General features: G+C 44.4%; 1 protein-coding gene and 1 long non-coding RNA gene across 4 annotated transcripts in view, besides 3 other annotated features; one reads left to right on the forward strand and one right to left on the reverse strand.

The window, feature by feature from the left end:
* The window catches only part of KLF17 (KLF transcription factor 17), a 91,214-nt gene that overhangs the window by 10,534 nt on the left and 63,997 nt on the right, over window positions 1–16,683 (forward strand). The window lies entirely within an intron of this gene.
* LOC124904169 (uncharacterized) overlaps window positions 1–16,683 on the reverse strand; it is a 30,287-nt gene that overhangs the window by 9,658 nt on the left and 3,946 nt on the right. Inside the window, exon 2 of the long non-coding RNA XR_007066056.1 lies at window positions 12,188–12,275. This is a non-coding gene — a long non-coding RNA (uncharacterized LOC124904169). The remainder of the gene's footprint in view (window positions 1–12,187; window positions 12,276–16,683) is intronic.
* Window positions 12,945–13,024: an enhancer, noted in NCBI's record as "active region_931". NCBI's record gives its function as "activates an Ori minimal core promoter by ATAC-STARR-seq in GM12878 lymphoblastoid cells {active_cell/tissue: GM12878}" and the evidence as "EXISTENCE:reporter gene assay evidence [ECO:0000049][PMID:35858748]".
* Window positions 13,225–13,274: an enhancer, noted in NCBI's record as "active region_932". NCBI's record gives its function as "activates an Ori minimal core promoter by ATAC-STARR-seq in GM12878 lymphoblastoid cells {active_cell/tissue: GM12878}" and the evidence as "EXISTENCE:reporter gene assay evidence [ECO:0000049][PMID:35858748]".
* Window positions 13,495–13,584: an enhancer, noted in NCBI's record as "active region_933". NCBI's record gives its function as "activates an Ori minimal core promoter by ATAC-STARR-seq in GM12878 lymphoblastoid cells {active_cell/tissue: GM12878}" and the evidence as "EXISTENCE:reporter gene assay evidence [ECO:0000049][PMID:35858748]".

Raw genomic sequence — 16,683 nt, forward strand, 5'->3', positions numbered from 1 at the left:
AAATCAAATCAGTGTGCCTTTTTTTTTTTTTTTTTTTTGAGACAGAGTCTTGCTCTGTCGCCCGGGCTGGAGTGCAGTGGTGTGATCTCAGCTCACTGCAAGCTCCACCTCCCGGGTTCATGCCATTCTCCTGCCGCAGCCTCCCAAGTAGCTGGGACTACAGGCGCTCACCACCATGACCGGCTAATTTTTTTGTATTTTTAATAGAGACGGGGTTTCACCGTGTTAGCCAGGATGGTCTCAGTCTCCTGACCTCATGATCCACCCGCCTTGGCCTCCCAGAGTGCTGGGATTACAAGCGTGAGCCACCGTGCCCAGCTTTTTTTTTTTTTTTTTTGAGACGGAGTCTTACTCTGTCACCCAGGCTGGAATGCAGTGGCCTGATCTTGGCTTACTGCAACCTCTGCCTCCTGGGTTCAAGCAATTCTCCTGCCTCAGCCTCCCAAGTAGCTGGGACTACAGGTGTGTGCCACCACACCTGGCTAATTTTTTGTATTTTTAGTAGAGACAGGGTTTCACTGTGTTAGCCAGGATGGTCTTGATCTCCTGACCTCGTGATCCACCCGCCTCAGCCTCCCAAAGTGCTGGGATTACAGGTATAAGCCACCATGCCTGGCCCAGTGTGCCTTCTGTAAACAAGAAGGCTACTGGAAGAAGGACTGTCCCAGGCTTAAAGGGGAGTCTGAGACACCCAGATCCATAATGGCCAAGAAAGCATAGGACTGATGGGGCCTGCGGTCCTCTACAACTCCTACTGGACACCTTACCATCTCCATAGAGGAGTCTTTGGTAACCCTGGACACGGCAGGCAAAAATACTGGGTTCTTAATGGACATGGGAGCAGCCTACTCAGTTGTAACCCATTTCTCAGGGCCTCTGTCTTCCTGCTCTTGTACAGTAACAGGGATTGATGGCCAGCCAAAAATTAGGAGATTTATCCACCCCCTTGGTTGCACCCTGGAAGACCATACATTTTCCCACGGGTTTTTACTTATGCCTAAGTGTCCTATCCCTCTACTGGGGAGAGAATTACTTTCCCAGTTACAGGCCACAGTTCAATTTCAAGTGCCTCATAAGAAGGCAACAGGCTGGGAATGGACACTTCTAGCTCTAAGTGCTTACCTCAACACAGATAAGGAGATGCTCTTCCCGCCACATATTGCTTCTCAGGTAGACCCCTCTGTTTGGGTCATGGAAGTTCCTGCTAGAGCTGTTAGTGTACCCCCATTCCAGGTTATTTTAAAACCCAATGTTAATTACATGTGGAAGACACAATATCCTTTGAGACCCAAGGCTCAGAAGAATATCCAGCCCCTAATAACAAAGTTCCTAAAGTCTGGATTCCTACAATCCTGTGCCAGTCCCCATGTAACACCCTTATTTTACCTGTAAAGAAGCCAAATGGAGAATATAGATTTGTTCAGGATCAGAGGGCAGTTAATGAGATAGTAGTCCCAGTCCACCCAATAGTTCGCAATCCTTACGAATATTTACCCATGTCTCTGAAGATGCTCATTGGTTCATAGTAAGGATGCTTTCTTTTATATAACTTTATACCCAGACTCTCAGTACATTTTTGCTTTTAAATGGACTGATCTAGACTCTCATGCCGCATCTCAGCTTACCTGGACAGTCCTTCCCTCAAGGTTTTAGAGACAGTCTCCATCTCTTCTGCAATGCATTAGCCAAGGAGTTAAGGGAACTACAGTTAACTAATGGATCCCTCTTGCAATATGGAGATGACCTATTACTCTCCAGCCTCACTAGGGAAGACGGACAGGAACACAATCCAGCTCCTTAATTTTCTGGGAAAGCGAGGATAGTGGGTTTCCCCCAGCAAGGCCCAGATCTCTGTGCAAAAGGCTAAATATTGGGGGTATGTGCTCACTCCTGGAACAAGGACTTTTGCCCAAAAGCAAAAAGAGACCATCCTGGCACTCCAGTCCCTCAGACTAAGAAGCAAGTAATAGCCTTTTTGGGAATCCTGATCTGGATTCCTGGGTTTGAGCTTAGAGCAAGCCACTCCGTGAAGCTCTAAAGGGGAGTGATCATGAGCCTTTGAATTGGGATGGAACCTGCTAACAGGCATTCTTAACACTAAAAGAAAAGCTGGGAACAGCTCCTGCTTTGGGACTCCCTAATTTAGAAAAAAACTTTCACCCTTTATGTGGCTGAAAAACAAGGGATGGCTTTGGGCATCCTAACTCAAAGGCCCGGGAATAGTCCCAGGCCAGTGGCTTACTTTTCTAACAGCTAGACCAGGTGGCAGCCACATGGCCAGGATGCTTGCAAGCTGTGGCCACCACTGCTCTATTGGTAGAAGAAGCCAGTAAGTTTACCTTGGGACAACAATTAGATGTCATGACCCACCACCAAGTATAGGGAATCTTAGAGACAAAAGGACACCAATGGCTAACAGGAGGTCACTTACTTAAATATCAGGCCCTTCTGCTTGACATCCAGCTGTTACTTTTAAAGTATATCAAGTTTTAAACCCTGCTACCCTGTTGATGGGCTTCATGTCCCAAGAAACAGATCCCCAACTCATTCATTCCTGCGTGGAAACCATAGAACAGACCTACTCTAGCAGGCCTGATCTCAAAGATGAGCCCCTGCCTAACCCTGGTGTTTGGTGGTTTACAGATGGGAGTAGCTTTATGCATGAGGGGTAAGGAAGACAGGTTATACAGTGGCTAGCCAACAAGAGATCATTGAGACAAAAGCTTTGCCTCCCTAGACTTCCATTCAAAAACTGGAATTAATTGCTTTAATTAGGGCCCTCCAATTGGGAAAAGACTTAACAGTCAATATACTTACTAATTCCAAATATGGGTTCCTGGTGCTCCATGCTTATGCTGCCACATGAAAAGAAAGGAGAACGTTAACAGCTAAGGGATCCCCCATACAACATCACTCAGAGATCCTGGAACTTTTAGATGCTGTCCTTTTCCTTTGGGAAAAGGAGGTAGCAGTTAGTCACTGCAGGGGACACCAAAAGGGATACACCTCCCTTATTTGAGGAAGTGCTCCACCAGACAGAGCAGCTAAAGCCACAGCTAAGGAAACACCAGTATTCCCATTCACTGCATTTATGCCAGCTACTCCACCTGTGTCAGCAGCACCATACTATATCTCTGAGGAAATTAAATGGGCAGAATAGAAAAGCTTACAAAAGGATCCCTCAGGATGGTTGCTAGAAAACAACAAACTCTTTCTCCCTGAGGCTGAGCAATGGAAAATAATTAAGTATTCCCATGACTCCTTACATTTGGGACAGGACTCCCTATTCAAATTAGTTTCTCAAATCTTCCTGGGAAAGAAATTATTCCAGACTGTAAAGTGGGTCACCAGGGCCCATGAACTTTATGCCGGTAATGACCCAGGGAGCTGCCCATACCCTCATCCCTACTCACTCCTGTACAACATCAAGGAACATACCATGGGGAAGACTGGCAAATAGATTTTACTCAGATGCCACCATACAGGGGACTGAAATATTTGCTAGTATTTATAGACACTTTCACCGAGTGGATAGAGGATTTCACCACAAGAACAGAAAACGCATTAGAAGTGCCAATTCCTACTTAAAGAGATCATCCCAAGATTTGGATTACCTAAAAGTCAGCAGAGTGATAATGGACCCTCCTACAGCTAAAGTGACCCAGCAGGCGTCCTGAGCCTTAGGCATTACGTATCATCTTCACCCCTCCTGGAGACCTCAATCCTTGGGGAAGGTAGAAAAAGCTAATGTTTTTGAAAGGACATTAGCAGAGCTCTGTTAGGAGACCTCAGAGGCCTGGGTTTCTCTCCTCACCATCGCCTTTTTTTTGTTTTTGTTTTTGTTTTTGAGACGGAGTCTTGCTGTGTTGCCCAAGCTGATCGTGCAGTGGCACGATCTCGGCTCACTGAAACCTCCACCTCCCAGGTTCAAGCGATTCTCCTGCCTCAGGCTCCCGAGTAGCTGGGACTACAGGCAGGCATCACCAAGCCCGGCTAATTTTTGTATTTTTAGTAGAGATGGGCTTTCACCATGTTGGTCAGGCTGGTCTCGAACTCCTAACCTTGTGATCCACCCACCTTGGCCTCTCAAAGTGCTGGGATTACAGGCGTGAGCCACCGTGCCCAGCCTCCCATCGCCCTTTTATATGTAAGGATGACTCCAAAGGAACAGTAAAACAGTCCATTTGAAATGACTTATGGGAGGCCCTTTTTTTTTTTTTTTTTTTTTTTTTTTTTTTTTTTTTCCCGAGACGGAGTCTCGCTCAGTCACAGGCTGGAGTGCAGTGGCGCTGTCTCGGCTCACTGCAAGCTCCAGGGAGGCCCTTTTTAACTTCAGATCTCCTGTTTGATGAAGAGACACGTAGAATGCTCACCCATATTATCAACTTAGGCTGGGTTCAAAAGGCCCTCCAAGCCTTTTGGAGGCTCCCTTCAACAAAATATCGCTCCCTTCAACAAAGGAAATAGTTAACCTCCACAATCAACCAGGAGACTTAGTCTTAGTAAAAACTTGGAAAGAAGAATCCGCCAATGATCAATTACACATGAATGGAAGGGGCCGTATCAGGTGTTGTTGAGTACACCTACGGCTGTTAAACTTCAGGGAGTAACTAGTTTGGTACCCCTGTCCAGGTTAAACCTGTTTCTTATGAGTTGCAGCACAAAAGGAGGCCCCTGTGACCTGCATCTGTGAGCCTTTGGAGGACCTCTGCTGCCTATTTAAAAGAATCAACACTCAGCCAGAGGTGGTAATGTGATGCTGTGGGTGGGAATAGGAACAGTAATTTTTCTCTTCTTCCTGATTGTAATCCTTCTTTTCTGTTGCTTTAGCCAACCTCTTGGGAAACACCTCTTTTGTCCTTGTTGGGTATAGAGGCCACTCTAAGGCCCACTGGACACCATGTTGTCACTATTAATCCTGTTTGATTTCCTCATTACCCTGATCCAGTGCAGGTGGGAACATAACCCTATCGTAAATATTTCAAATATTATAGCCTCAGGGAATCATCTTCATGGTTGCTGGATTTGTCATCAATATTCCCAGGGTGCACAGTTCTACCTTCTGGCCTACCCAGAAAATTTCACAGCCATCTCTCCAGACCTCCTAACTAACCATAGTGATCCCCAAATACCCAAATCCCTATTTGTTAAGTGAAACTCTCCTCCTGATTCCCCTCCGATTCCATCTGAATACCACCCCCCAACTCCTGCCACTATTACCTTGAGCTGGGAAGTTGGGTATCTATATCTCCAATGCACTAATGATTCTATCTTTTGCATCCACTGTTGTGTTAATGACACAAAAGCAGACGTTTCCCTGTGATACTCTGATCCAAATCTAGTTGCCAAGTTTCCCAGGCTGCAATGAGGTAAATGGGATTCCACTTGTCAGTGAGGAGACCATATATGGTGCCTTCTCCTGGATCAGAACATACAAGGGAAAAACAACTGCCTAATCTGGGAAGGTGGGAGCACTGTTCCTTCTGGAAAACAAGACTGTTTGACCACTCCCATTAGAACAGGGGGAAAATATCTCCTCTAGAGACCCAACTTGGCAGCCAAGGATAAACATCACACCCCGTAGGGCCTCTGTTTGTGTACCCCCCCAGGCTCATTTTGTTTGTGGCCATGAGTGGGAAGAAGTCACACCCCATAACCACTCCTGACTCTCCAGGAAGCCACCTGTTCCTTTAGGAGCAGCCTTCTGTATATAAAAAACTTGGAATAGGCTGGGTGTGGTGACTCACACTTGTAATCCCAGCACTTTAGGAGGCCAAGCCAGGGGGATCACTTGAGGTCAGGAGTTAGAGACCAGCCTGGCCAACATGGTGAAACCCCATCTACTAAAAATACAAAAATTACCCGGGCGTGGTGGCGAGTACCTGTAATCCCAGCTACTCAGGAGGCTGAGGCAGGTGAATCTCTTGAACCTGGGAGGCAGAGGTTGCAGTGAGCTGAGATCACGCCATTGCACTCCAGCCTGGGTGACAGAGTAAGACTCTGTCTCAAAAAAAGAATGAAACTTGGAATAGAGATGAACATATGTTGGCCACCCTTGCCCCTCCAGGGGTCATGGTCTGTAACCCCATAAGACCCAGGAACACCAGAAGTAAGTGAGCAATTGGATTAATTCAATCGGAAGGAATTTGGGCAGCAATAGGACTAGCAGCACCCTAGGGTGGCTTTGCTTACCTACTCAACCCTAGTCAACCCTAAAGAACCCTAAAGAATGTGAACCCTAAAGAACCCTAAAGAACTTGACTCAAACCCTAGAATCTTTAGCCACCAATAGCGGTCAGGCATTAAAGGGGATTCAAGAGTCCCTAGACTTTTTGGCAAATGTAGTTCTCAATAACAGACTAGCATTGGATTATCTACTAGCTGAACAAGGTAGAGTCTGTGCAGTTATTAATGAAACCTGTTGCACATACATCAACAACTCTGGGCAGTTGAAGTTAACATTCAAAAGATCTGTGAGCAAGCTACCTGGTTACGTAACTATAATCAGGGCATTAATCCCAGCTGTATCTGGCTAGCTATCAAAAGTGCCTTCCCAAGCTTCACCTGGCTTTTACCTCTCCTAGGACCTTTGATAGCTGTCTTGTTATTACTAATCTTTGGCCCTTGCTTGTTTAACCTCTTAGTAAAGTTTGTCTTCTATATTACAACAGTTCCAGGTAAAGACAATCCTTGCACAAGGCTTCCAACTCGACCCGCCTACTGACCTGGAGAATGAAAGTGTCCTGCCTCGGGGCCCCTCAGATCAGGTATCCAGAGATTTCTGTTTCTCCAGGGCTAGACAGGACCAACATCCATAAACTCAGCAGGAAACAGTTACAGGAGGTAGACCTCCAACCTTCTGTAGTCCCTTTAAGATTAAAGAGGAGTATCTAATTTCTGAGGGGGGAATGAGGTAGGAGGCAGGACTCAACTCTGGAGGTGAGACTCAGACTCTGGACCAGATTGAGGACTAGCTGAAACAGGGAAGAGGCAAAATCACCTCTCCCTAAGACATGCCCACCAGTGCCATGTCAGTTTACCATTGCCATGGCAATGCCCTGAAGTTACCACCTCTTTCCTTGGCAATGACCTGACAACCTGAAAGTTATCACCTTTTTTCTAGAAATTTCTGTATAATCTGCCCCTTAATTTGCATGTAATTAAAAATGGGTATAGGCTGGGCACAGTGGCTCATGCCTGTAATTCCAGCGCTTTGGGATTTCCAGGTGGGCGGATCACTTGAGGTAAGGAGTTCGAGACCAGCCTGGCCAACGTGGTGAAATCCCATCGCTACCAAAAATACAAAAATTAGCCAGGTGTGGTGGCAGGTGCCTGTAATCCCAGCTACTTGGGAGGCTGAGGCAGGAGAATCACTTGAACCTGGGAGGCGGAGGTTGCAGTGAGCTGAGATCGCACCACAGCACTCTAGCCTGGGTGACAGAGCAAACTCTGTCTCAAAAAAAAGGGTATAAATATAACTGCAGAACTGCCCTGAGCTGCTACTGTGTATACACTGCCCATGGGGTAGCCCTGCTCTGCAGGAGCTGTCACAGAGGTGTACCACCACACTGCCACCTCAGTAAAGCTGTTTTCTTCTACCACTGGCTTGCTCTTGAATTCTTTCCTGAGTGAAGCCAAGAATCTTCCTGGGATAAGCCCCAATTTGGGATTTGCCTGCACTGTGTCACCAACACCCATTATCTCAAGAAGTTCCACATGCTTTCCAAGCACTTGATGTTGTCAGTCTTTCTTTCCCCAAGAGAAATGATCAAAATTGTAATCGAATGTATTTTTAACTCTAAAACAGAATTTAGATTATTTTATTAAGATCAAATATATAAGTAGTCAGGCATCTCTTATTTTATATTATGCCTATATCTGTATCTATATCTATATCTGTCTACACAAACCCTTCAAATTTAAAAATCAGAGCATTATTTCTCAGTCCTTTAAAAATCATATTGCTGAGTGCCATGGCTCATGCTGTAGTCCCAACACTTTGGGAGGCCAAGGAGGGAGGATCGTTTGGAGCCAGGAGTTCCAGATCAGCCTGGGGAACAAAACAAGACCCTATCTTTACAAAAATAAATAAATTAATTAATTAAAAAAAAAAAGCCACGTGTAGTGGTGCATGCCTATAGTCCCAGCTACTCAGGAGGCTGAGGTGATACGAGGAGGCCAGGAGTTCGAGGCCGCAGTGATCCATGATCACGCCACTGTACTCCAGCCTGAGTGACAGAGCAAGAACCTGTCTCAAAAAAAAAAAAAAAAAATCATGTATCTCCATGTCAAGGATGGGAAAAAACGAGGAACCTCTTACATTGCTGGTGAGAACATAAACTGATACAGCCACTTTGGAAAACTTTGGCAGTGTTTACTAAAGCTAAACATGCATACACTCTGTGACCAACAATTCTATTCCTGGCTATATCCTCAACAGAAATGAGTGCTTCTGTCTAGCAGAAGACAAGTACGAGAATGTTCATAGTAGCTTTATTCATGATAGCTTACACTGGAACAACCCAATGCGCATCAGCAGAAGAATGGGTGGATACATTGTGTTGTACTCATCCAGTGGAATATTACGTGGCAATAAGAAAGAACAAAGTACTGATAATAAAACAACATGGGTGAACCTTGCATAATTTTGATTGAAAGAAAAAAAAGAGGTCAGATACAAAAGAATACACACTGTATGATTGCAATTATATGAAGTTTGAAAACTGGTGCAACTAACCTATAGTGGTAGTGGCCAGACTGGGTTAACCAAGGGAGTGGTATTAACTTGCAGGGGACAGGAAAGAGTCCTCTGAAGTGTTGGAATTGTTCTACTCTTGATCTGGGTTGTGAGTACATGGCAGTATATGTATTTAAAGTTGATTTGTACATATTACTGTGTCTAAATTATACCCCAATAAAATGGAAAAAAATCATATAGATGCCAATCATTAAGTGTTGTTACTAAGTCAGATCTTTATGTCAGATGCAGCCTAAGTTTCTCTTATATTTGACATTTTTCATAGGCGTATTGTAAGAAAGGAAAGAAGCAAGCTGCTTCTTCTATGATATTGGGAGTACTCTCCAGTTGGGCTGTTCCAGAAATCATTAATCATTAGATTTGGGCAGCTGTCATCTGATTTCTTTTCTTAAAATAATCACTTGGATATATTCTGACTCTGCTTATGGGGTTTAGACACAGCTTGAGAATAATAACATTCTGCTTTTTATGGGCAATTTTATTTTCTTCAACCATAGATTCAGAAAGAATGAGTTTGTATAGTATGTCAAAATCTATCAGCAAAAAGACCGTAAGGGCCATACCTATAGTTAATAAAAGTTAAGTTTATCTGGCTTGCTGCAGCAGGAAGAATGCATGAATCTTGGGACCATCTTAGTAAGGGAGACTTGAGTTTGTGCTTGTGTTGGATGCCTCTGAGAAGGGATTAGGGAAGCCAGAGCCAACTCTGGATTGAATGCTGTTAGGAAGCCGGGAGGATTGAGTGCAATTCACAAGGTTAGCAGGACCACGGGTCAGCAGGGCAGTGCGGGGCCAGAGCAGAGTGGAAAGTGGACCAAAAGAGGCACATGGAGAATACCTAGCACAACTGCCTATGTACCCTCCCTAAACTAACTGCCAGAGGAAGCACTTCAGCCAAATGAAAAAATAAGTGAGAAGTTAGCTGGGAAACAAGGAAGGCATAATATGCTAAACATGGCAACAAGGGAAAAACCAGTAAAATTTATTGTTATGTATATGTAATTATTGATATTGTTACTGTGGAAAGATTCTTAACTAAATTCTCATAAAAAGATATATGCTTATTATAATAATTAATACAGAAAGTACTGAAAAAGTTTTTTCAACTGCCCCAAATGCAGCTACCCCCAACAATTATCTTCAACATTTGTCGGTTATCATTCTAGACACTTTCTATGCAAATCCATAGAGAAGCCTAGATATAAATAATTTTATGATGTAGACTGTGAAGAATTTCATATTAGGGATGCACTAAAGCTTAGCTGTGGACTTAGTATTTGGCTCAAATCTGCTATTCAACTATGACTTTGGCTCTAGCCCTTACAAGGTTAAATAGCCAAATACCTTCTTTGGTATCATTTGTGACATCCCTGAACCTGTGTGTGATCCATGATCACGACTGTGTTGATTTTTGTCATATCTGATCAACATAACAATATCAGTAAATGAACCAAGCCATGTTACGTGAATTTATTGTTAATATCTGAATATTCACCTTCACATATAGGTAACCATTCAAGATACAGGTTCATGAAAATGTCCTTTGCTTTATATGCCAAAATTCTATTAGTCATTTGAGGTATACATGTATATTTAATATTTCATGAGTAAAACGTTATAATAATTAATGATTATTTGAAAGCTGCTAATCGTGTGCACAAAAACAATAAGAACTTTCAAATAAATATGGAAATAGATTGGAAGTTAATGCAATTTTAATGAGAAAGTGTGCTAACTAGGTATCTTTAGAAGAACTTTATATTGTTTTAAGGTCAAGAGATGTTTATAGGCTGGGCGTGGTGGCTCACGCCTGTAGTCCCAGCACTTTGGGAGGCTGAGGCGGGCGGATCACGAGGTCAGGAGTTCGAGAGCAGTCTGGCCAACATGGTGAAACCCCGTCTCTACTAAAAATACCAAAAATTAGCGGGGCGTGGTAGCGCACGCCTGTAATCTCAGCTACTCGGGAAGCTGAGGCAGGAGAATCACTTGAACCTGGGAGGCAGAGGTTGCAGTGAGCCAAGATCATGCCACTGCATTCCAGCCTGGGCGACAGAGCGAGACTCCATCTAAAAAAAAAAAAGAGAGATGTTTATGACAATTTAAGTAATACAAGCCAGAATACTAGTGATTATATCATAAAATTGTCGGCATAATAGTATTCATAATATGAATCAAAATAATCCTTGGTTTTTTTTTTTTTTTTTTTTTTGAGCCAGAGTCTCCATCTGTCACCCAGGCTGAAGTGCAGTGGTGTGATGTAGGCTCATTGCAACCTCTGCCTCCTAGATTCGAGTGATTCTCATGCCTCAGCCTCCCGAGTAGACGGGATTACAGTTGAGCACCACCACGCCAGGCTAATTTTTGTATTTTTAGTAGAGACGGGGTTTCACCATGTTGCCCAGGCTGGTCTCGAACTTGTGGTCTCAAGTGATCCCCTGCCTTGGCCTCCCAAATTGCTGTAATTACAGGCATGAGCCACTGCTCCCAGCCTAAAATAATCCTTAATAGCTGTATTACTTCTGTTTATTTATTATACATTAGAAGAAATAAAAATACATGCCACAAGCAAAGAAGATATTTATAACATATATAATCAGCAAACAGTGTCTAGTATGTGCAGATAATGCCTATAAAATAGTAAGAAATATAGAAGTAATTCAATAGAAAAATTAGCAAATTTCCTTCAGAAAAAGAAACATGAATGGGCAATAAATGGATGGAAAATACTCAACTTTATTAATAATCAGGGAAATGTAGTTAAGTCTAGAATAAGATATCATTTACATCCATTCAATTGGCAAAAACTAAGAAGTATGGGCTGGGCACTGTGGCTCACACCTATAATCCCAGCACTTTGGGAGACCGAGGTGGGAAAATCACTTGAACTTAGAAGTTCCAGGCCAGCCTGGGCAATACAGTGAGACCCCCGTCTCTACAAAAAAATTTTTAAAAATAGCTAGGCATAGTGGTATGAACCTGTGTTCTCAGCTACTTGGGAGACTGAGGTGGGAGGATTGCTTGAGCTGGGAGGTCAAGGCTGCGGTGAGCCATGATTGCACCACTGTACACCAGCCTGGACAACAGAGTGAGACCTTTCCTCAAAAGAAACAAACAAAAACCCTCCCCCCAAAAAAAACAACAAAAAAATTAAGGGGTATGATAATACTTTCCTTTTTTTTTTTTTTTTTTAAGAGATGGGGTCTTGATATGTTGCCTAGGCTGGTCTTGAACTCCTGGGCTCAAGCAATCCTCCCACCTCAGCCTCCCAGAGTGCTGGGATTTCAGGAAAGAGCCACCATGCCTGGCCAACTTTCTAAAGAGAATATTGGTCAGTGAGATCTCTTATACATTAATGGTTGGTGTATAAATTGAATATCCACTCTGGAAAAACAATTTGTCATTATCTTGTGTTATTGAACAATCACATACCCAGATATTCGACTCTTGGATATATACCCAGGAGAAATTCTTGCACAGGTACATCAGAAGACATCTGACAGGAGTGTAGCCAGTAGCGCTATATGTAAGAGCACAAATAAAAGAACCATTCAAATGCCTGGTGACTACAGAGTGGATAGACTGTAGTGTACTCACACATGGAATATGACACAGCAGTAAAAATGAATGATACTCCTATCCATGCCACAACATGGATAATCTTAGTAACATAATTTTGAGCAATAAAGCAAGTCTTGAAGAGCACTCTTTTTATAAAGATCAAAAACAAGCAAAACAAAACAATATTTCATTTAGGCATCTATATAGATGACGTTCTCAAATAGTGGTTACCTCTCGGAGGAGGTATGGGTAGAACTAAGTGATCGATAACATTTAACTCTTGGGATGAGTGTTGAGCTCATTTTTTATTATATTATTTTTAAAAACAAACAATATATAATGTCTAATCCTCTAACGCTATTAGAATCTTCATTGCCTTCAAACTCAACTGGGTCAAGAAGTCCCCTTCTAGGTCAGACTCCCACTCCCTTGAGTGATGGTTGCTGCAACCATTTCTGGTGTGAATCATTTTATTGATCAAAGTTCTTGGCTTTGCAGACAACAGGATCTGCAATACTCTGTTTAAACAGAAAGGGATGTATCACAAGGTATTAGGTACTAGATAAAGCTGAATTTTGAGACAATGTATTGTGGTTGATGTAGCATCTTGGGCGATACTGGTTATGAGTGACATAAGGAAGGCTCTTAGGTCAGGTTCCCGAGAACAGAGTCTGACATGAATATTCTTGTTCCAGTGATTTATGAGAGGAGTCCTCTCAGAAGAAGAGGTGGGAGAGAAACAGGATAGGACAGAGGAAGAAAGCTAAGCAAGTGTGTGGATACTGTCTTCAGCCTGGACCCACAGGGAGCACTGGAGCATAAATTATACCACAGAATTTGTTTCTGTTTGAGGCTGGTGGGATGTCCCTTTGTACCCCAGAGAGGGTGCAGAACTTCCTGAAGGAGTTGACTGCATTTGGTTGAGAATATGTGATTATTTAGAGAAGGAGCAGCTCACTGTCACAGCAACTGGGGCAGGGTGCACTGACCAGGGCAGAGCACCAACAGTGAGCCAATGCCACCCTGACCTCATGGGGGAAGGGTGGGGATAACCTGGGGCCAGATCAGAATTAGGTGGGGGTGGGACAGAGCAGGACAGGAGAGGCTGGGAGGAGCAGAACCGAGAGGGTCTGTGTTTCCTGTGTACCCTGGAAGCACAAGCCTGGGTTCTCTGAGCCTCAGGCAGCACTGACCTTTCTTCCCCATCTGGGCATGAGAAGGACAGGAGAAGCCCTTTCCTCAGCACTTTTTTTTTCTTTCTCTTTTTGAGACAGAGTTTGCTTTGTCACCCAGGCTGGAGTGCAGTGGTGTGATCTCGGCTCACTATAATCTCCGCCCCCTGGGTTCAAGCAATTCTCCTGCCTCAGCCTCCTGAGTAGCTAGGATTACAGGTGCATGTCACCATGCCTGGGTAATTTTTGCGTTTTTGGCAGAGATGGGGTCTCACCATGTTGTTTAGGCTGTCTCAAACTCCTGACCTCAAGTGATATGCCCACCTCTCAAAGTGCTGGGATTACAGGTGTGAGCCACTGCGCCCAGCCCCTTTCATCAGCGTCTCATTCCAGTTTCTGGGTCCTGAGCACTTCACCTTGAGGCCCCTCTTTACGGGAAAAGTCTCACTGAGGTGAGGACATACCAGCCAGGAGTGGGGTGAGCAGGAGAGCTCCTGGGGCAGGGCCCTCCAGTTACTATGTAGCCCCCACCACCTCCCTGTTACTGGGGCAGAGAGAACCAAGCTTCTCTGTCAGCAGCCTCCTCCCTTCCCCTGCCCTTCGGCCTTGGCCTTGATCTCAAGCTAATGTGTTATCTGATTCATTAGGTGGTGGGCAGTTTTTCCCAAGCTGCCTGCCTCAGTCTGGACTGGAACATTCTGGCCTCACAGGAGGGCTGGCCCCTGCCCTCACAGGAAGCTTTAACCCTTGCTCTGCTAGCATGATTCTCCAGGGTCACAGGCTGGGGTTATGTTTTCTCCAGAGTGGCACCAAACGGAAGCTTGTGGAGAGTTTAGACACTCAACACACTTCCTCATTCTCCCCCAAGCTAGGCAGAAAATGCCTAATCTGAGTAAAAATAGTTTGTCCCCTGGCCCATCCCCTGTTGTAACACAATTGTGACCCTGTGCCCTTTTACATAGAATTTCTGGGGTCACCACTGGTGACATCACTAGCTGAGTGGCCTTAGAATCCTTACCTCTGCTTTCTGCATTTATTCCCCTCCCCCAGCCACATGCCTCCTCTCAGGGGTCAGGGCCTGACCCCCTCCCCTCACAGAAATGTGTATTTTATTTTAATGATCACTCATGTGGAGAGGTAAAAGTCTGCAAACTGAGGCAGGTCTGGGTGGGAGACATTTCAGGACAGGGTCTTCCAGTCCTCACATCCTACCAGGAGATGGATAGGACACTCCCTGGCAGGATAGGGGTGGGGGTTCAGCATGGGAGGAGGGCTTTCCTGGGCAGGAGGCCTTGGCCAGAGGGGTCCACCCCAGTCTAGCTGGCTTTCCTTCTCCCCTTATGTGTTAGTCTGTTCTTGCTTTGCTATGAAGAAATACCTGAGGCTGGGTAACTAATAAAGAAAAGAGGTTTATTTTGGCTTATGGTTCTGCAGGCTGTCAGGAAGCATCTGCTTCTGGGGAGGCCTCAGGGAGCTTACAACTGCCATGGAAGGCGGAGGGGAGCCAGTGTGTTACATGGCGAGAGAGAGAGAGAGAGAGAGAGAGAGAGAGAGAGAGAGAGAGAAGACAGGAGGAGCCACACTCTTTTAAACAAGCAGATCTCTAGTAATTCAGCGAGAAATCACTCATTATTGCAAGGACAGCACGAAGCCATTCATGAGGGATCCGCCTCCGGGACCTAAACACCTCCCACTAGGCCCCACCTCCAACACTGGGGATCACATTTCAACTGAGATTTGGAGGGGATGAACACCTACACCATATCACCCTAGTCCTAACTTTGGGGGATGCTGAGGGAAAGACGGAGTCTGTTTTTTAACCCTCGCTGCTTTGGTGGGAAAGTACCCTGTGTTCTGGGTCAGGATGCCATGTTCCAATCCAAAAGGTGCCAACTTCCTCTTTCTCTTTTCCCTGCTCTTGTCCAACCTTAGCATCTGCTCCTGCCCCAGCGTCGGCGATGCATGTCTCTGTGGCCGCTGTGCTCGGTGGGTGTCTTTTGCCTCCAGTAGCCCATGGGTAGGGGAGGGCGGAATCTGGACGCCACACCCTCAGCCCGTCCCTTCTGTGCTCTGCATTCCCCCCACCTTTGACCCTCTGGTTTTATTGATTCATCCTTCTTTCTTGCATTTTAGTCTCTAAGTCAATTAGTTCTTGTCTGTAGCCTATAAACATGATAAAGCCTCCATTATTTTAAAAAGTCCCCAAATCTCCCTCTACCAAACCTCCTTTTTAATTTTTTAAGTGATTTTTTAAATTTGTATGCATTTATGGGGCACAAGTGTAATTTTGTTACATTGATATTTTGTATAGTGGTGAAGTCAGGGCTTGTGGTGGATCCATCACTGGAGTAACATACATTGAACCCATTAAGTGATTTCTCATCATCCACCCCCCTCCACCCTCTCGCCCTTCCGAATTTCCATTGTCTGTCATTCCACACTCTACTTCCACATGTACACATTATTTAGCTCCCACTTATAAGACAGAACACGTGGTATTTGTTTTTCTGTGTCTGAGGTGTTTCACTTAGGATAATGGCCTCCAGTTCCTCCCATGTTGCAGTAAAAGACATGATTTCGTTATTTTTTATGGCTGAAAATCCATTCTACCCCACATTCTCACCTCTCCCTTTTCCCTTGTCTTTTTTTTTTTTTTTTTTTTTTTTTTGAGACAGGGTCTTGCTCTGTTGCCCAGGCTGGAGTGCAGGGGCATGATCACACTGTAGCTTTGAACTCCTGGGCTCCAGTGAGCCTCCCACCTCCCTTGTCTTTATCAGAGCCAAACCCTACGGGATTACCAAGTAGACAAACAAAGCACATGTTTGAGGCACCAACAAAGAAGGACAACACAGCAAATAAGCATTATTGAACAGGGGAAGGGGAAGGACAGTTATTTTTAATACAAATTTGCAAGTAAGTTAACTGCAATTAAAATAATTTAGAAAGTTTATTTTAATTTTAACATTTATATATTTTTATGTTATTTTGAAAATAAAAAAACTCACTTTGTATTACTTGTAGGAGGATGGGAACCATAATCTTTTAAAGGTGTTAATTCAGCCCTGCGGTCAAACCTCTTCCTCACCTCTTATTCCTCAACCCCCTGCAACTTCAGACACCATCATGTCCTAACTGCTCCTCCCGAGGTTACCAATGAGCATCACTGTGATAAATCCAATGGGCGTGTTTCATGCT

This window comes from Homo sapiens, chromosome 1 (assembly GCF_000001405.40).
Source record: "Homo sapiens chromosome 1, GRCh38.p14 Primary Assembly".
Taxonomy (NCBI): Eukaryota; Metazoa; Chordata; class Mammalia; order Primates; family Hominidae; genus Homo; species Homo sapiens.